Here is a 19,887-nt window from a genome sequence, read left to right as displayed (position 1 = left end):
GGAGGCGGAGCTTGCAGTGAGCCAAGATTGTGCCACTGCACTCCAGCCTGGGCGACAGAGCGAGACTCCGTCTCAAAAAAAAAAAAAAAAAAAAAATGCCTTGTTGCGTACCTATTGTGTGCTGGGCACTTGGCTTAGGGCAGATGTTACAAAGGTAAGTAGAGACTATTGGCTTCCAAAGAAATAAGAATCTTGAGGTCAAAGCAGATAAATAGATTATCAGCAATAAGATAAGGTGAAAGATGGACACATAATATAATAGAGCTTTAGATTTGCATTCAGAAAGTTTTGATTTCGATTCTAGTTTTAATACATTTTAGACATGTGACCTTGGATTATTTATATCTTCGAACCCCATTATCCTTATTGGGAAAAGACCAATAAAATGCCTGGTACCTAATAAGTACTCGATAAATTATATATATATTTTTAAAAAGTATTGAGAGAGACGAAATACCTGGTTACTGAGCCTGTTAAGTATATGGGGAGAGATTGGGAATGGGTTTCATAGTAGAAGTAATAAGCAGGTGTTTACAGGGAAGTTATCAGTGAAGAAAAGGCACTATTAGCAGTGGAGTCAGTGTGCATAAAGGCATAGGACAATAAACATTAGTTGAAGAACATTTTGACAGTTTCTCTAGGTCATTTTTAGCCCATGGCTATGTATTTTTAAAAATCAGGCATAGATTTGAATGCCATTTCCACAACTTACTAGTTGTAAGTAATTTTACCTGTGAATCTTAGCTTCCTTGATTGAAAAATAGAGATAATACTGAAAGCCCCTCTTGTGTCCCCTTCCAGTTGCTAACCCCTTAAGGTAACACTTTTCTGACTTCTTACAGATAGTGACATTTTTCCAACTTTAAATAAATAGACTCATGCAGTATTTATCTTTTGTGTCTGGTTTCTTTTGTTCAACATTATGTTTGTGTACTTCACTCATATTATTCCATGCAGTTCTGAATAGTTTGTTCTCATTATTGTATGATATTCCATTGTGTGAATATACTAAGTGATTTATCTGTTCTAATGTTGACGGATATTTGGTAGTTTCCATGTTTTGGCTATCATAAATAGTGCTTTCTTGAATATTGTAATAATATATATGGCTTTTGATGGACTTAAGTATGCACTTTTAAGGGTGTAATTTCTGGGTCATAGAATATGCCTGTGTTCAGATTTTTCGGTAGATTCCTGCCAAACAATTTTTCAATGTGATTGTATCGATATAGACTCTTACTAATAGTGTATGACAGTAAGGATTGGGATTTGGACTTGCTCATTTTTTCATATTTCACTTACTAGAGTTGAGTTTCCTTTTTAAAAATATGATTATGATCATGTCACTGTCATGCCTAAGCAAAGCCCTTTAGCAGCTGTTGGTTGCCTTTAGAACAGAGCAACTCATGACTTATCAGGCACTTTGTGATTTGTCCTGGCTTTGCTCTATCTACACCTTTATCTCCAGAATCTTCTCCTTGGTATCATGTTCCGCAGTGTAATTGAGTTACTTGGAGATTTCCTGTCCTATGTTTTCTGGCGTTCATTTCCAGACATTGACCCACACTGTTACCTTTGCCAGAGCTGCCGAACTGTCTTCCAGAGTACCATTTCACATTCGCACAAACAGTGAATGAGATCCTGTTGTTCCACATTCTTGCTGGCATTTGGTGTTGTCAGTGTTCTGGATTTTGGCCATTTAAATAGGTATGTAATGGTATCTCACTGTTGTTTGAATTTGCATTTCCCTCATGATATATAATGTAGAGCATCTTTTCATTTGCTCATCTGTATGTCTTTTTTGATGACGTATGTGTTAATGTTTTGGACTTTTAATAATCAGGTTGTTTGTTTTCTTATTAATGAGCTTTAGAGTTCTTTGTCTATTCTGGGTTAAGTCTTTATCTGATATGTGTTTTGCACATATTTTCTCCCAATCTGTGGCTTGTCTTTTTATTCTCTTGGCAGTTTCTTTTGCAGAGCAGAAAATCTTAATTTTACTGAAGTACAACTTATCAATTCTTTCTTTCATGGATCTTGTCTTTGTGTTGCTTCTAAAAAGTAAATGACATGCCCAGGTTCATCTATATTTTCTCCTATGTTATTTTCTAGGGGTTTTATCATTTTGTGTTTTACATTTAAGTCTATGATCCATTTTTATTTAATTTCTGTGACTGGTTTGAGGTGTGTGTCTATATTCATTTTCTATCATGAGGCTGTCCGGCTGTTCCTGACACTATTTGTTGAAAAGAGTATTTTTTCTCTACTGTATTGCATTTGCTCCTTTGTCAAAGATCAGTTTTATATATTTATTTGGGTCTGTTTATAGGCTCTCTGTTTTATTCCATTGATCCACGTATCCATTATTTCCCTAATAACCACACTGTTTTGATTATTGTAGCCTTATTGTATGTCTTGAAGTTGGGTATTGTCAGTCCTCGAACTTTGTTGTTCTCTTACAATATTGTGCTGGCTATTGTGAGACTTTTGTCTCTCAATATAAACTTTAATCAGTTTTCCAGTAACCACAAAATAACTTCCTGGGATTTCTATTTTGATTGCACTGAGTGTAGAACTAACATCTTGACAATATTGAGTCTTCCTATCCATTAACATGGAATATGTATCCACTTATTTAGTTGTTTGAGTTTTTTTCATCAGAGTTTTGTAGCTTTTCTCATATAGAGTTTGTATCTATTTTGTTAGATTTATACCCAAGTATTTCATTTTTTGAGTGCTAGTGCAAATGATATTGTGCCTTTAATTTCAAAATCTACTTGTTCATTCCTGGAATATAGGAAAGATACTGATTTTTGTGTTTTAACTCATATTCTGAAAATCTCATATAATCACTTATTAGTTCCAAGAAGCTTTTGTTGATTTTTAAAAAAATTTTTCTATATAGACAGTCATGTCATCTGTGAACAGTTTTATTTCTTCCTTCCCAAACTGTAAACCTTTAGTTCTCTATTCTTGTCTTATTGCATTAGCTAAGACTTGTAGCTCTCTTTTGGCTACTTTATGAATGGAATATCTTTCCCATCCTCTCACTTTCAGCCTATTACCTATTTTTTGTCTTTGTATCTAAATTGCATCTTTTATAGACAACATATAGTTGAGTTATTTTTAAAAAATCCATTCTGCCAACTTTTTGACACATTTTGGGCAGATTTTTATTATAAGCACAATTCTAGCTATTTATACTTACTCTCTTGCTCCACTTCTTTAGTTAAGAATATTGGAGAGGAATAGTTAGTTAACTTCTCACTTTCAGGAAGAAACCTTGATTCATCCTATTGTTATTTCCATTTTATAAGCAGAAAATAAAATGTTTAAAGTAAGATGTATTCGGTGCCAGACAAGCTCCAAGTCAGTTACTTAGCATTAACTAATATAGAAATTTACTCGCAGAAAATGGGAGAGGCATTGTATAAAATGTAAACAAACAGAAGTATAATATGTGCTATGGGAATTCTTCACTGGGGTGCTTGACTGGACAAGGAAGTAACATGTCTACAGTAGCTATTACTATGCCCCGTAGTCTTAGAATATACCGGGGCAGGTGGCCATAGGTGATATTTTCATTTATTAAGTTTGAATTGGCTTAATGCAAGATTGAAAACAACCATTTCTTAGTAATCTCTGTATTAAGAAGATGTTTTCAACAACATTTCGTTGTTGTCTAACCAAGATTGTCAAAACGGGTCTTATCAGTCCTTGTTCTCCCTCTTGCATTTGTGTAGGCTTAAGGATGGGCAGCAGGACTAGAGAGCCTTGGGTGCCTCTCTACCTTCAACCCCCAATCTTTTCTTAATAAGGAGCAAGCACCAGCTCTCATGTTTCTTGACTCTCTAAACAGCTTTGCTTTGAGGAACAGTGTTGGACTCTTCAGGAAACCTGTCCTTGGAAATCCACCAGTTAATAATCTTGACTCTAAATATTTATTTTAAAGGATATGTATTTGAATTGAGGATTTTAGGGGAAGAGAAATTCCAGCCAAGGGTTTTGTGGCTCAGCAATTTTTTATTAACTTAATTCTTTTGTTGAAATCACAAATAATAGTTTATTCTCTTTGAATACTATGATCAGTGGGAGAGGGTGGAGGGGGTGACTGACTGAGGAGGATGGGTTTGTGTTTATATCTGTAGGTACATGTATGTTTTCATTTGTATCATCATTATAGCTACCTTTTTTTTTTTTTTGAGACAGTCTCCCTCTGTCGCCCAGACTGGAGTGCAGTGGCACGATCTCAGCTAACTGCAGCCTCCACCTCCTGGGTTCAAGCAATTCTTGTGTCCCAGCCTCCCAAGTAGCTGGGATCACAGGTACACACCACCATGTCTGGCTAATTTTTGTATTTTTAGTAGAGACAGGTTTTCACTATGTTGGCCAGTCTGGTCGTAAACTTCTGACCTCAAGTGATCGGGCCTGCCTCAGCCTCCCAAGGTGCTGGGATTACAGATGTGAGCCACTGCACCCAGCTGTATCTACCATTTTTGAGCCATGGTTTATGTCTTTTGCATATATTATGTTTAATTCTCATGAAAGCCATGAGTTAGAGGTATAATTTTTATTTTATATGTTAGATAAATAGGTGAGAAAGGCTGCATCACTCAAGAAACATTCAGCTGTGAGGGGCAGTACCAAGAAATGATGTCTATACTTAGTTTTCTTTGTCAGTGCTAAACATCAATACTTTCTTGTGCCTGTGGTTTCCGTATAATTGGGAATTAGAAGCAAATTGCTTAAGTTTATTTATCTACAATGCAATAGCATAGTAACTTCTTGATCTCATTACTAAATCCTTCCTTCCTTCCTTCCCTCCTTCCTCCCTCCCTCCCTCTCTCCCTCTCCCCCTTCCTCTCTTTCTTTTTTCTTTTTCCCCCCTCCCTTGCCTCTCCCCTGCCCCTCCCCCTCCCCTCTTCTTTTTTTTCCTGTATTCGGTTGTGGGATATTTAACTTATATGCCATACTTTTATAATAAGTACTGAAATTATTCTGATTGCAGTATTTTATGCAGTTTTGTTGTCTTCATAAAGTCCACATTATTTGAGCAAACACTTGTTGAAAACAGGATTTCTCAACGTGAGCACCGTTGATGCTTTCTGTGGATAATTCTTAGCTGTCAGGAGGCTTTCTGTGCACCATAGGATGTTAGGCAACCTCGCCGGCTTCTACGCACTAGATGTCACTAGATGTCACTGGTACCCCCTTCCTCTTATGACAACCAAAACCCATAATGTCAGCAGACATTGCCAGATGTCTCTTGGGGGACTAAAGATTCTCCCAGCTGAGAACTTATGATTTAAATTTTACTACGTGCCAGGCCAGGTGGGCTCTGACTGTGACAATTCTCCTGTTCCTCAAGGATCTTTAGGCCTAGTTGATAAGAGAACCATCTCCCTGCTAACCTACTATAACATGGTCAGTACAGGGCAGTAGTGGAGCAGTGCAGTGTCACGGAAACTTGGAAAACAGAATTGTGACTCAGATTGTGGCATAGTTGAGAAGAAAGTGGTAGGACTAGGGAATGTAGATGCTAAACAAAAAAAAATAATCAAACATGTCTTGAAGAATTGTTAGTTGCTGTTTTTAATGGTTAGGACTTTCTTTTGATATTCTCTAGATTTTTTCATCTTTGTCTTAAGTTGTAGTTTAAATCATATTTATCTGAAAATTATCTTGAGAAGAGCTAATACTAGTGTCTTTGTTTTCATGTAAAATAGTTGGAAAATTGAGACCTTTTGTGTCTACTTAAGTCTAATTCATTACTTTTCTTCAGGTATATAGATTTAATAACAGGCTACATTCTATTTTATACATAATATGAATTATACCCTTTAAATATAAATTTGGTTTATATCTTTTGAACTGTCTTAACATTGTAATTGTCTTAATTATTAAAATAATACATAGATATAGTATATCTAGTAAACTAATGATGGTCATGCTGGTCTAGTCATTTAGTTCTGCTCCCAAGGAAGATGCTTTCATTTCTTGCTGTGTTGCACAGATGGGTCTTGAACTCCTGTGCTGAAGTGATCCTCCTGCCTCGGCCTCCTTAAGTATTGGGATTACAGGCATGAGCTACCACACCTGGCCAGTATTTATTTTCTGAAATTCAAATTTAATGATTTAAAAAAACTTTCTCTTATTTCTCTACTAGAATTTGATAAATAATGGTTACAATTTGGCAACTATTAAAAATAATAATGCTAAAATTTGATAGCTCTGTAGTTCTTTAGATTTTTAAAAAATCTGATGTATTCATGTCTTCATTTTCAAGCCAGCAATGAGTCTTCAAATCTTTCTTGTGCTTTCAATCATGAACTTCTGGCACCAATGGGAGAAAACTATCTGCTCTTAAAGGACTCATTTGGTTAGGCCAGGCCCAGTTAGATAATCTTCCTATTTTAGGACCAATAACTGGTTATTGGTTATTTCAGTTTACAATTAAGACTTACATCTTAAAACACTCAAAACACATTAATTTGTTAGGCCAGAAAAAAATGTAGTGCAACACTTTTACAGCAACAGCAATAAATGTTACGTTTTTGTTATTATTTCCCTTTTCTGATGGTGTATTTGTGATTCTTTTGGCTTACATGATTTTACAGTTCAGTTTTGCATTGAACTGTAGGCTTATTGTGTTAGTCTCTTCCCACACTGCTGTAAAGAACTACCTGAGACTGGGTAATTTATGAAGAAGAGGTTTAATTGACTCAATTCTGGAGGCTGCATAGGAAGCATGGCTGGTCAGCCTCAGGAAATTTACAATCATGGTGGAAGGCAAAGGGGAAGCAAACGTGTCTTCACATGACAGCAGGAGAAAGAGCAAAGGAGGTACTGCTGCACACTTTTTTTTTTTTTTTGAGTTGGAGTCTTGCCTTGTCACCCAGCCTGGAGTGCAGTGGCGTGATCTCGGCTCACTGCAACCTCCGCCTCCTGGGTTCAAGCAATTCTTCTGCCTCAGCCTCCCGAGTAGCTGGGACTACAGGTGCCCGCCACCACGCCTGGCTAATTTTTTGTATTTTTAGTAGAGACAGGGTTTCACCGTGTTAGCCAGGATGGTCTCGATCTCCTGACCTCGTGATCCGCCCGCCTCAACCTCCCAAAGTGCTGGGATTACAGGTATGAGCCACTGTGCCCAGCCCATGCTACACACTTTTAAACAACCAGATCTCATGAGAACTCTATCACGAGACAGCACCAGGAGGATGGTGCTAAACGATTAGACACCACCCCATAATCCAGTCACCTCTCAGCAGCCCCCACCTCTAACACCTGGGGCCACAGTTCAACATGAGATTTACAAAAGCATAGACGTTCTCCCCTGGGCTTGTGCTTACACTAAACAAAGTATTGATTACAACTTGACAACTGTCAGCAGTTACAGTTTTTGCTTAACTGGTTAAGGGTGACATAGTTTGGAAAATACGTTTCTTTTTACTTAACTGGATTAATAATAAAAGTAATTCAATTTTTAGAATTTACTTTAGAAAAGTAAAGGTTTATTAGTTTTCTGTTGTCTCATAACAAATTACCACAAATTTAGTGACTTAAACCAACACCCGTTTACTGGCTCACAGTTCTGTAGACCCTGTGTAACTATTTGATTTGCTCAGAATATCGCAAGACTGAAATAAAGGTGTTGGCGTTACTTAGTTCTCTTCTGGAGGCTCTGGGGAAAGCTCCACTCCCAAACTGATTCTTGCCATTGGCAGAATTTAGTTTCTTGTAGTTGTAGGACTGAAGGTCCCCTTTTCTTACTGGCTGTGAGCTTGAGGTCTCTTTAGCTCCTAGGTGTTGGTTACATTTCTTAGCATATGGCTCTCCATCTTCAAGCCAGCAATGAGTCTTCAAATCTTTCTTGTGCTTTGAATCATGAACTCTGCCACCAACAGAAAAAAAATATCTGCTCTTAAAGGACTCATTTGGTTAGGCCAGGCCCAGTTGGATAATCTTCCTATTTTAGGACCAACCTGTAGCATAACATGTCCTATTGTGGAAGTAAAATACATCCTCACAGTGCCGGAGATCATGCAGAGTGTGCATATCAGGGAAAAGTCTTGGGGACTGTATTAATTCGTTTTCACACTGCTGATAAAGACATACCTGAGACTGGGAAGAAAAAGAGGCTTAATGGACTCACAGTTTCACATGTCTGGGGAGGCCTCACAATCATAGCAGAAGGTGAAAGGCACTTTTTACATGGCGGCGGCAAGAGAGAATGAAAGAGAAGCGAAAGCAGAAATCCCTTATAAAACCATCACATCTTGTAAGACATAGTCACTACCACGAGAACAGTACTAGGGAAACTGGCCCCAAGATTCAGTTATCTCCCACCAGGTCCCTCCCGCAACACGTGGGAATTATGGGAGCTACAATTCAAGATGAGATGTGGGTGGGGACACAGAGCCAAACCATATTAGGGACTGTCTTCAAATTCTGCCTACCACAAAAGGTTATCCTCTAAGATACTATATTGGTGGTTTTGAATCTTGATGATTTGAATAAAGAAGGGATTTATTAATGGGCTTACTGTATAATCTTGTTGAAAAAAGTATTCTCATGTTTCAAATTGTTCTAGAATGAATTAAAAATATTTCTAATGAGACAGTATGTAATTTTCTTTTATGATTTAAACCAATAATATAGGACAAAGATGAGAATTCACATTTTCTTTGCCACATAGGATATGATTCAGTATTCCTGGGAAATCTAATCCACTTGTAAATCTTCAGCTATTATCAAAATGGATGACTTCCACGTATATCCCTCTTAGCCCCTATTTTCTTCTTTTTGGCTGCACATTTTTATTTCCTACTTCGTATTGGAAATAACCATATAGCCGTCCTATGGGCAACTACATTTAAGCAGATCCCAAACCAAAACAATTTTCTTTTCCATGAATCCTTCACCACCTTTTATATTTTTAATCATGTTCTAGCATAACTGCCTGGTCAATTACCTAAGCTAGAAACTTTGGAGTCACCTTTGACATATCCTACTGCTTCATTATCTATAATTTGTCACCAGTTTCTGTTGGCTAGGCTTAGCCAGTATTAAAGAGAATTTTAATTTTTTTTTTTACTTGAATTGTTGTTATAGTGCTTCCGTTATTTATTTATATTTTTTTATTATACTTTAAGTTTTAGGGTACATGTGCACAACGTGCAGGTTTGCTACATATGTATACATGTGCCATGTTGGTGTGCTGCACTCATTAACTCGTCATTTATATTAGGTATATATACGTGTTCATTGTACCCTTATCGACTTTGCAGCATGCTTATCCATCTAACTATTCATCTTTATTTGCCTTCGTTTTTTGAGTTCCCTTATTCATCCTAAAACAAAATATAATGCCTGACTCATAGTCAGACTTCACAGTATTTTTAAATGAATTACATTGCATTGGGGAAATATAAATAGTAATGTCCTTTTATAGAGGAAGTCTAAAAGAAATTCTTGGGTGAATTGATAATCAAACATTTTTAAGAAGGTATATTTGCGAGCAAAGAAAGAAAAAATATGACAGCTTATTTATATAGAAAACCTATGTATTCTGTGATTTTTCTTTGTTTCAAGTCTGTATATGAATATCATGCTATCCCTCCCCCGTCCCCCAACCCCACGACAGGCCCCGGTGTGTGATGTTCCCCTTCCTGTGTCCAAGTATTCTCATTGTTCAGTTCCCACCTATGATTGAGAACATATGGTGTTTGGTTTTTTGTCCTTGTGATAGTTTGCTGAGAATGATGGTTTCCAGCTTCATCCGTGTCCCTACAAAGGACATGAACTCATCCTCTTTTATGGCTGCATAGTATTCCATGGTGTATATGTGCCACATTTTCTTTATCCAGTCTGTCATTGACGGACATTTGGGTTGGTTCCAAGTCTTTGCTATTGTGAATAGTGCCGCAGTATACATACATGTGCATGTGTCTTTATAGCAGCATGATTTATAATCCTTTGGGTATATAACCAGTAATGGGATGGCTGGGTCAAATGGTATTTCTAGTTCTAGATCCTTGAGGCATTGCCACGCTCCATAGGTTAGGCATATCGTTTGTTATATATTGCATGTCAAGATATGTCTGATTCATAGTAGGCACTCAGTATACACGTACTGAATAAAAAGAATCTCAACACTTAGAATTAATCACGTCAGCTATACTTCATGTTTCTGTTCATTGTACCCTTATCGACCTTGCAGCATGCTTATCCACTAACTATTCATCTTTGTTTGTCTTCGTTTTTTGAGTTCCCTTATTCATCCTAAAACAAAATACAATGCCTGACTCATAGTCAGACTTCACAGTATTTTTAAATGAATTACATTGCATTGAGGAAATATAAATAGTAATATCCTTTTATAGAGGAAGTCTAAAAAAATTCTTGGGTGAATTGATAATCAAACATTTTCAAGAAGGTATATTTGCTAGCAAAGAAGGAAAAAATATGACAGCTTATTTATGTAGAAAACCTATATATTCTGTGATTTTTATTTGTTTCAAGTCTGCATATGAATATCATGATTTTTAAAAAACGTATTTTGATAAGTGGAAAGGAATAATTTATAGAATACCTAAAATATGTCATTCACTTTTAGGGTATAATTTTTAAAGTCTTTAAATAAATGATAATGTTCATTTTAAACAATATTTTACTAAATGGGCATAAGAAATTATGGTTGTTATTCTTCTTGCTTTCTTTAAATCCCAGTTGAAACTGTGATCATGAAGGTTATTAATTATGAATCGGTATATAAGTCTCTTTCTTTGGTCTCTCTTTTCTCCATTTTTTGTTTCTTTTCCCACCAGATTAAATTATACTACCAGAAACCTATTTTCTTATCTTTCTTCTGTAACGTATTTTAATCTCTCTCAAGACAGTGGATACTATAAGGTTTATTTCTATGGGAGTATTTATAAGAATTTTTTTTTTTCGACATGGAGTTTTGCTCTGTCACCCAGGCTTGAGTGCAGTGGCACGACCTCGACTCACTGCAACCTCCGTCTCCTGGGTTCAAGCGATTCTTCTGCCTCAGCCTCCCGAGTAGCTGGAATGACAGGCGCATGCCACCACGCCCGGCTAATTTTTGTATTTTTAGTAGAGACAGGGTTTACCATTTTGGCCAGGCTGGTGTCGAACTCCTGACCTCAGGTGATCCACCTGCCTCAGCCTCCCAAAGTGCTGAGATAACAGGCATGAGCCACTGCACCCGGCTCAGAATTTTTTTTTTTTATTTAAGATTTATCAAGGCTTTACTGAAAACCTCAGTAGACAGTCATAGATTTTAAATTCTTATTTTAAATGTGGAAAGTGATTCTAGACTCCCAGGCAAGGCTGTACTTGCCCTTTCATAGCCGATATGCTTGTCCACAGGCTCATTGTGTGCATTGTGGCTGAGGTACAGAATGTATTTACTTAGCATTAGGCTTACTTGTATTTCATGGCTATTGTCCAGCACTTGAGAATTCACTTTCACTTTCAGGTGACAGAGAGTTGGGTCTTAGTGGTTTGGTTAATGTTATCATATAATGTAATAACATATCTGTTACCTTCAAAGTTAATGACTATTGTCCCCTTTAATCCAAATTAGCTAGCACATCTCAAGAACCATTTGAACTATGTCACAATACAAAGAAGGGAACTGTGTCCATCACAGCTGTCTTCAAGGCAGAAGCCTTGGACTTCCTTGTATTACTTTGACCAAACCCTTGGCCCCTTATTCTTTTCCTGTTTTTACCCGTTTTGATTCATTGACTGTTTTGTGTAAGCTCAGCTCTCAAGGTTGAATATTTGCCTTAAGCTGGTCTTAACCGCCAGCACTCTGTGGAGTGTTGTTTTATGCAGTTGACCCTTGAGCAATGCAGGGATTAGAGGTACTGACCCCCCCAGCCCAGTCCTGCATATAACTTTTCCCTCCCTAAAAACTTAAGTACAAATAGCTGAATGTTGACAGAAAAGCCTTATCAATAACATAAGTTTATTAACACTTATAGTTTCTACATATTTTATGCATTTATGGCATACCTGATTTTTTTCTTAAAAATTTTCGGTATTTGTAGGCTATGCAGTTCGTCTGCAAGTTTTTTCAAATTGTTGAAAATCTCCAAAATTTTTTCCAGTATAATTATTGAAAAAATCGTCACATAGGAGCAGTGCAATTCAAACCTCTGTTGTTCAAGTGTCAACTGTACTTGTCTTTGACTTCACATTCCTCTGGCTTGTTCCTTGTAGCAAATTGGCTGGATCCAGCCTTGGGCACCCATCTCTGTGGGTTCTGCCTGGAAGCTCTCACATTAGACTGTCTTGGTATCTTTGAGGTTAGTTTGTGGGTACACCTTCCAGTTAATATGATGGCTAGCTAGACAATTTCTGGATTTGATACTTCTCAATATAAGCATCATGGATGTATCTAAACCATTAATTATTCTGAGACACACCTAGATGAAATATTCTTAAATATAGGTAAATAGAGATTTTATTATCAATGTATCTAAAACAGTAGCATGGTCTTTTCTAACAGGAAGGCATTTCTCTTACAATCTTAATTTCATAATATTTCTTAATATAATGGTGCTACTGTTTTGATGAAGATAGATGTTACTGAATTAACTGTCACAAGTCACTTAGTATGTGCTCAGGTGTTTGCATGGATTATAACCCTATGGAGTAGGTACTGTTTTGGGGCCCATCTTTTGTTTATGGGGACAGTGAGGCTTACAGGGTTAAGTGACTTTCTTTTTTTAAAATTATTTTTTAAAAATGTTGTGGGTACATACTAGGTGTATATGTGTATGGCGTACGTGAGAGATTTTGATACAGGCATGCAATGTGAAAGAAGCACATCATGGAGAATGGGGTATCCATCCCCACAAGCTTTTATCCTTTGAGTTACAAACACTCCAATTACATTCTTTATTTTAAAACGTACAGGTAGGTTATTATTGACTATAGTCACCCTAATGTGGTATCAAACAGTAGGTCTTATTCACTTGTTCATTTTTTTGGTGCCCATTAATGATTCCTACCTCCTCCTAGCCCCCTACTACACTTCCTAGCCTCTCTGGTAATCATCCTTTTACTCACTGTGTCCATGAGTGCAGTTATTTTAATTTTTAGATCCCACAAATAAATGAGAACATGCGATGTTTGTCTTTCCGTGCCTGGCTTATTTTACTTAACATAATGATCTCCAGTTCCATCCATGTTGTTGCAAAAGACAATATCTCCTTCCTTTTTATGGCTGAATAGTACTCCATTGTGTATATATACCACATTTTCTTTATCCATTCATCTGTTGATGGATACTTAGGTTGCTTCCAAATCTTAGCTATTATTGTAAACAATGCTGCAACAAACAGAGGAGTTCAGGTATCTCATCGATATACTGATTTCCTTTCTTTTGGGTATATACCCAGCAGTGGGATTGCTGGATCATATGGTAGCTCAATTTTTAGTTTTTTGAGGGACCTCCAAACTTTTCTCCATAGGGGTTGTACTAATTTATATTCATACCACAGCGTACAAAGGTTCCCTTTTCTCTACATCCTCGCCAGTATTTGCTATTGCTTGTCTTTTGAATATATGTCATTTTAACTGGGGTGAGATGATATCTCATTGTAGCTTTGATTTGCATTTCTCTGATGATCAGTAATTTTGAGCATCTTTTCATATTCCTGTTTGCCATTTGTATGTCTTCTTTTGAGAAATGTCTATTTAAATCTTTTGGCCATTGTTTGATTGGATTATTAGGTTTTTTTCCTGTAGAGTTGTTTGAGCTCTTTATATATTCTGGTTATTCATCCCTTGTCAGAGTGATAGTTTGCAAATATTTTCTCCCAGTCCATGGATTGTCTCTTCACTTTGTTGATTGTATCCTTGACTGGGCAGAAGCTTTTTAACTTGATGTGATTCCATTTGTCCATGTTTACTTTGGTTGCCTATGCTTATGAGGTATTGCTCAAGACACTTAAGTGACTTTCTTAAGGAAAATAGCCTATATTTGAGCGTCTGGTGCCTCAGAACCCCCAGTCCCCCACCGAGTTACTGTAGATCTGGAATTATATTTATGCTAAAGAGATGGAGCATTAAATCCTTTATATAACATAACCTGTGCCTGCATGTCTTGTCTCCATTTGAGACTTCACTTTGGAGATTGGTTTTCTGAGTCACAGAAAGGGTAAATTTTGGTGGGTTTAAGCTTACTCTTAATAGTTCTATCAAAAAATGTTTTTCATCTTTATGTTATCATTTTGAGCAGCTCAAGTTTGTAGTTGACTTTCTCAGTTAAAAGAAACTTTCATTTATGTTCTTAGGAGAGAAAGCAAGTAATTAATTTCACTTTGGTTTAGAAATACAGCAGTATGGAATTTATCTTCTGATAAATGCAAATTGTGAATGTGGGAAACAATATCTTCTCTGCAGCTAAGGCACCCCTTAGGCTGTTAATTCACGTGAAATAAGTAATCAATTATGTAGGTCAGAATACTGGCAGTATATTAAACCAAGGCTCATTAAATGACTGCTTTCTAGGTCATAGACCAATTCTCTTTCAGTGGAATGTACTTGGATGGAAAGAAATGATTTTAGGTGATATATTTGGGGACAAGGATAGTTATTATAAGGCATTTGTTTTTAGTTTGCTTCCTGTTTTTCCTTCTTGGTTAAAAATGGTATCAGTACTAGTCAATCGAGTTAACCAAAATCTAAAGAAACATCTCTTTGTTTCTACCAAAACTTTCAAGTTATTTTAATGATAGTGAAAACTGTTTACGTCTGTCACCTGGATAACCTCCATTCATTTCCATATAAATGACTTTGCCTTTAAAAAAAAGACACCCCCCTCCTCCCCAAAAAAAGAAATTTAGAGCCTATCTATCTCTTAATCAGTAAGTGGTTAGAAAGAACTGCTATATAAATTGTTATGTTCATGAAGTTTTATGTAAAGGGTGACATATTACATATTTAAACTCTTTAGATGAAAAAAGGAAAGTGAAGATAGAAGTAAGAGAAAGAAAAGAATCTCATGTAGGCTTTGGGCAGGAATGGGAATTTAAGTAGGTACAGCAGGCTATGAGTGGAGGGGTCCTTTGCTCAGGTACTTGCTGTAGGATTTGGGATTCCTGGTGGGTCCGTCTGTGATCTTGTGAACTGGGCCGTTTTCAGCAAACAAACCTATAGCACTCCCTATTAGTCTTCTGTGAAATCATACAAGACAAAGGATTACTAAGCAATTAATTCACTTGATGATAGTCTGTGTGTTTAGGGTCCTCAGAATTACCCCTCAGTTTGGTGATTTGCTGGAAGTACTCACAGGACTGGGCATGTAGTTGTACTCAAGGCTATGCTTGATGAGAGCCGAAGGATACAAAGCACAATCCGCAAAGGGAAGAGGTGCACTGGGTGAAATCCAGGAGAGACTTGGCACAGGCTTCCGAGGATACCTTCATTCCTCCAGCAGTGACGTCTAACAGTGTTTGTCTAGTGTTACCTACCAGGGAAGCATGTTAGAGACTCAATTCCCAGTTTTCTTATTGGGGGTTGGTCAGGTACACACCCTCTGCCTGGCATGTTCTAAACTTTTCAGACTCTCAGAAGGAACGCAGGTGTTCAGCATGAACCCATATTGTTTGCACAAATGCACAAACAGTCTAGGCACAGTGGCCTGGTCTTTAGTTAACTGTTGACTGGGAACACCCCCAGAGCCAAAGTCCTTGATGCCAGCCAAGGGCTGACCTTGCAAGCAGCCTTTCTAAGTAGAAGAGCACTGTCAGGTCTGCTGTGTTAACCCCTTTTCTGCCCAGAGCCAGGCACTGTGCTATGTAGAGAATGAGACAGATCATGGAGTTTATAGTCTAGCTGAAGAGGCTGAAGTCTAATAAATTCCTACTAATAAGTAAGAAATTTCAGCTTTTGATGACTGTCTTGAAGTGTAGGAGGAGGAGGGTACAATGAGAGTATAGTGCAGTGAGTGGAGAGTGTGTGGCTAGTGAAGGTAGCTCCAGTGAAACTGCCTTTAAATTGGCTAAATGTCTCACTGAGCCGTAAGAGAGGAGGGGATTGAGGGCAGATAGCAGCGAAGACCATGGATGAGGTGAGGAAAGGAAGGGCTTGGCATGCTGGAGGACTGAAATGGGGGAAGCATAGGGCTAAGTGGCATCATTGCTACTGACTGCTCCCTTTCCATCCTCCAGTTAGACTTATTTTCCGATTAGTCTTGGGTCTCCAGGGGGCTTCTGCTACAAAGATTTCTTTCCACCTCTTTATCAAAGCCTGAGATTAGCAGTCAGATTTTTCAATTGATAATTTGAGGTAAAAACGTGTAAATTTTAATTCCAAATTGGAGCTAGCCCTGACCAATAACACTCCTGTTAAAGTGTAATAACCTCAGACGGGAGGAAGTGTAAAGAAACACAAGGCAGTCTGGCCTTAAGAGCTGACATCCTGGGCTTATATCTTCATTCCAACCCTAATTATTGCTTCTGTGGCCAATAGAAAACTGCTACAATTATTTAACTTCTCTTTGCTTCATTTTCCTGTTATATATTTTGGGGATTATAATTCATTTATTAAGTAAATATTTTGAACATTTTCTGTGTGCCACATACTTAGTTCTCTGAGGCTTACCTGGGCTAGTATGTGTAACGTGTATAACATAGTATCTTATATGCAGAGAGCATTCAAAGTAGGCCAACAGTTATTAACAAATGCTATTAGCTGTTTTATCTTTTTGGTGGGGAAGGAGGTGAAACAGTTGTAGTATAAATGCATGAGAGGTAAATACAGAGAAGGAGGTGTATGAAGTTGAATTTTGGGATTCTGAAAGCAAACTTACCTGATTTTAAAGTTATACATCTGCTGACCTTCATTTGCTTTTGGACAAATAAAGGAAGGTTTTACATAGGTGCATATGTGTACAGCCTAGAACAATTGTATGCAGTTGGGGAGAACACACACACAGGTTAATAAGAACATTGCTGATGAGCAGTGTGGTGGTATAACACTGCTTAGTATGACACAAGATACGTTTTCTTTTAACTTGACAGATTTTGTTACTAAGTTGCTACAATTATTTATACAGAAATATAAAGAAAATTTACTACTTCTGGTATATGTTTTGGAATTGTCTTTTGAAACTAATAAGATTTTTTAACGTAAATGTGTATATATACTTATCTCTTGGTGCTTGGAAAATATGAAACCATCTCACGCTGTGAAAGGTCTGTAAAGTTATTGGATTTTCCTTTCATTGAACATTTCAATTGTGGGAGGATGCACTGTCTGCTCATGTAGCCCATTCCAGTTACAGAAGCCTTGTTTCCTAAACATTCTGCCTGAAGTTGAATTGTTATCTGACTTCCTCAATTATTAATTCTAGTTTTGCCCCCTGGGTTTATGGATGGAAAAAACAAAACAAGATATGAATAAACCAAAAATATCTTAACCTGTTATACTTAATAACATTCAGATTAAACAGCAATGCCCATCAATAATCTTGTGTTCTTCAAACTAAACATTTGTACTCATTCACCCATTCCTCATATGACATGCATTACAGCCCCCTCACAGTTCAAGCTGTTCTTTGATAACTGGACTATTATAGTTCAGTAATTAATAGCATGAAATGGTGGTATTCTCCCCCAAATTTATCTTACAGTTGGACTGACACTGTAAGAAGCTGAAAATGATTTTACTTATTGTTTGTATCTGGGCTAAACACAGAAGAAATTACAAAATTGAGATAATTATTACAATAAATAAGAGATTATTGGTTACGTATACCTTAGAATTTTTTTAAAGGTTTTTCCTAACCTAGCTGAGTTTAGTTACTGTGAGATAATGGAAATTTAGTGTATTTTCCCTTTTCTGTGATTGAGGAAGGACAGAGGGCTTGAGATAAGATACCTAATGTGGCAGAAAATAATTCTTTTAAGGTCAGGAAGACGTGTTTTAGGGCATGTAAAAGCACTGTGATGTGGAATTGTAGGAGTCAGAACTCAGGTGTCGTGGGCGAGAGGCATAATGGGAGAGGAGGAAGGATATACTGGATACTTGCCATATGCTTTTGACTGGTTTTTAAAATTAATACAGACACAAAATTGGGATCTTTCTCCACAATTAAAATGGTAGAATTAATACTGAAAAATGCTTTTTCCTAATTCTTACAATAGATCCTTTAGTACCTATGATTACTAATTTAACATTCTTTCTTAGAATGAGTAAAACAATAATTCTTTAGCCTCCGATTTGAAACTGACTTTTAAAATAAATAATTTTTATAGATATTAAGGTGATGAGACTTCAGAAATAATAAAGGCTTTGGCTTATTAGGATAATATATTGTCATAAAGACACATTTAAAGATATATCAGAAATGAACCTAATTTGCATTCAGTTGGTGACATAGCCACAGAGAGTTGAATATTTCAAGTGACTTTAAAACATAATAATGCAGCCGCGCATGGTGGCTCACGTCTGTGATCCCAGCACTTCGGGAGGCCAAGGTGGGTGGATCATGAGGTCAGGAGATCGAGACCATCCCGGCTAAGACGGTGAAACCCCGTCTCTACTAAAAATACAAAAAATTGGCCGGGCGTGGTGGCAGGTACCTGTAGTCCCAGCTAATCGGGAGGCTGAGGCAGGAGACTCCCTTAAACCCAGGAGGCGGAGCTTGCAGTGAGCCGAGATCACGCCACTGCACTCCAGCCTGGGTGACACAGAGAGACTCTGTCTCAAACAAAAACAAAAACAGAAAAAACCGTAATAACTTATATATTTGTCTTGGTTATATATCTTAAAGGATAAAGAAACCCACCTTATATGTTTGTTGTGTGATAGAACAATGAATGATTATGTAATCTAGTTCCATTTTCCTGAAATTGAAATACTTCTATTTACTGAAAGGAACTAGAGATCCTGAGAAAAAGAGTACGACTCTATGTCTGGGGCAGAAAATGAACAAAAGGAACCTAAGATATCTCATACTAGCAGAGGATGGAAGCTGTTGAGATCGACTAGGTTCTTGTCAGAATGACTGAACCTGCTTGAAGAGGCTGCTCCACCTGGCTGCAAGATGGGACAATTTGAGCACCAGTTAAGGATAATAGTTACAATGGAAGAAACAGATCAAATTTATTCAAATATATGGTTTCGTAGTAATACTGTTATTTTTTAGTTGTTTACCCATGGGAGAATGTTACTGCATCCACTCATTATTTTCAAAACTGGTGAACAAAGGGGAACAAATTAAGCATTTGTCTTGTTTGATCTACATGAACTGTCCCACCGGACAACCACATAGTAGATGAAGCTAAGTTTCTCTTCATATTATTTCAGCTAATAAATGAAGAAGGCATGATAGAATGAGGAAAATCACCATTGTCAAGCCCTACTGAATTAGTCACTCAAGAGCCACTAATGCTGCTGACATCACAAAAAACTTCTGACAGAAGTGTGCAGTAACACTGACCAGATTGTACCCCAAATGGAACCTACATCTCTTCAGGCCTTGAGGACTAATGTCAATTTTCAAGAAATGCAGAGAGCGGAGGAACATGCTAAACCCCACAGGGATAAAGTCAGAAAAATCCAGATTGAAGTAAACCATAGGACTAAAAACCTATTTTATTCAGAAATAAGTTATAATGGGGGAAAGTAAGAGATGGAGGGAATATTATTGGACCAAAGAGACCTAAATATAATTTAAAAAATGAAATTCCGAGCTACTGCAACATGTGGAATTTACTTGTGTCCTAGTGCAGACCAACAAGCAGTAAAAAAAAAAAAAAAAAAAAAAAAAAGAGATTTAAAGCCTGGATATTTTTGATGGAATTAAAAATAATAATTTCTCTTTATTTGTGATAGTAGTATTTA

The 19,887-nt window shown here is 37.1% G+C and overlaps 1 protein-coding gene across 12 annotated transcripts in view; it reads left to right on the top strand.

Annotated features, from left to right (window-relative positions):
- Window positions 1-19,887, top strand: part of PDE10A (phosphodiesterase 10A) — a 660,764-nt gene that overhangs the window by 419,962 nt on the left and 220,915 nt on the right. The window contains exon 3 of one of the 12 annotated variants that reach the window (XM_047418100.1): window positions 19,351-19,612. The exons of the other annotated variants lie outside the window; for them this stretch is intronic. The gene's annotated coding sequence lies outside the window, so the exon portion shown is untranslated. The remainder of the gene's footprint in view (window positions 1-19,350; window positions 19,613-19,887) is intronic. 12 annotated transcript variants of the gene reach the window in all.

This window comes from Homo sapiens, chromosome 6, assembly GCF_000001405.40.
Source record: "Homo sapiens chromosome 6, GRCh38.p14 Primary Assembly".
In the NCBI taxonomy this organism is placed as follows: Eukaryota; Metazoa; Chordata; class Mammalia; order Primates; family Hominidae; genus Homo; species Homo sapiens.
The sequence above is the reverse complement of the archived record's forward strand: the minus strand, read 5'-3'. Positions and strand labels throughout refer to the sequence as shown.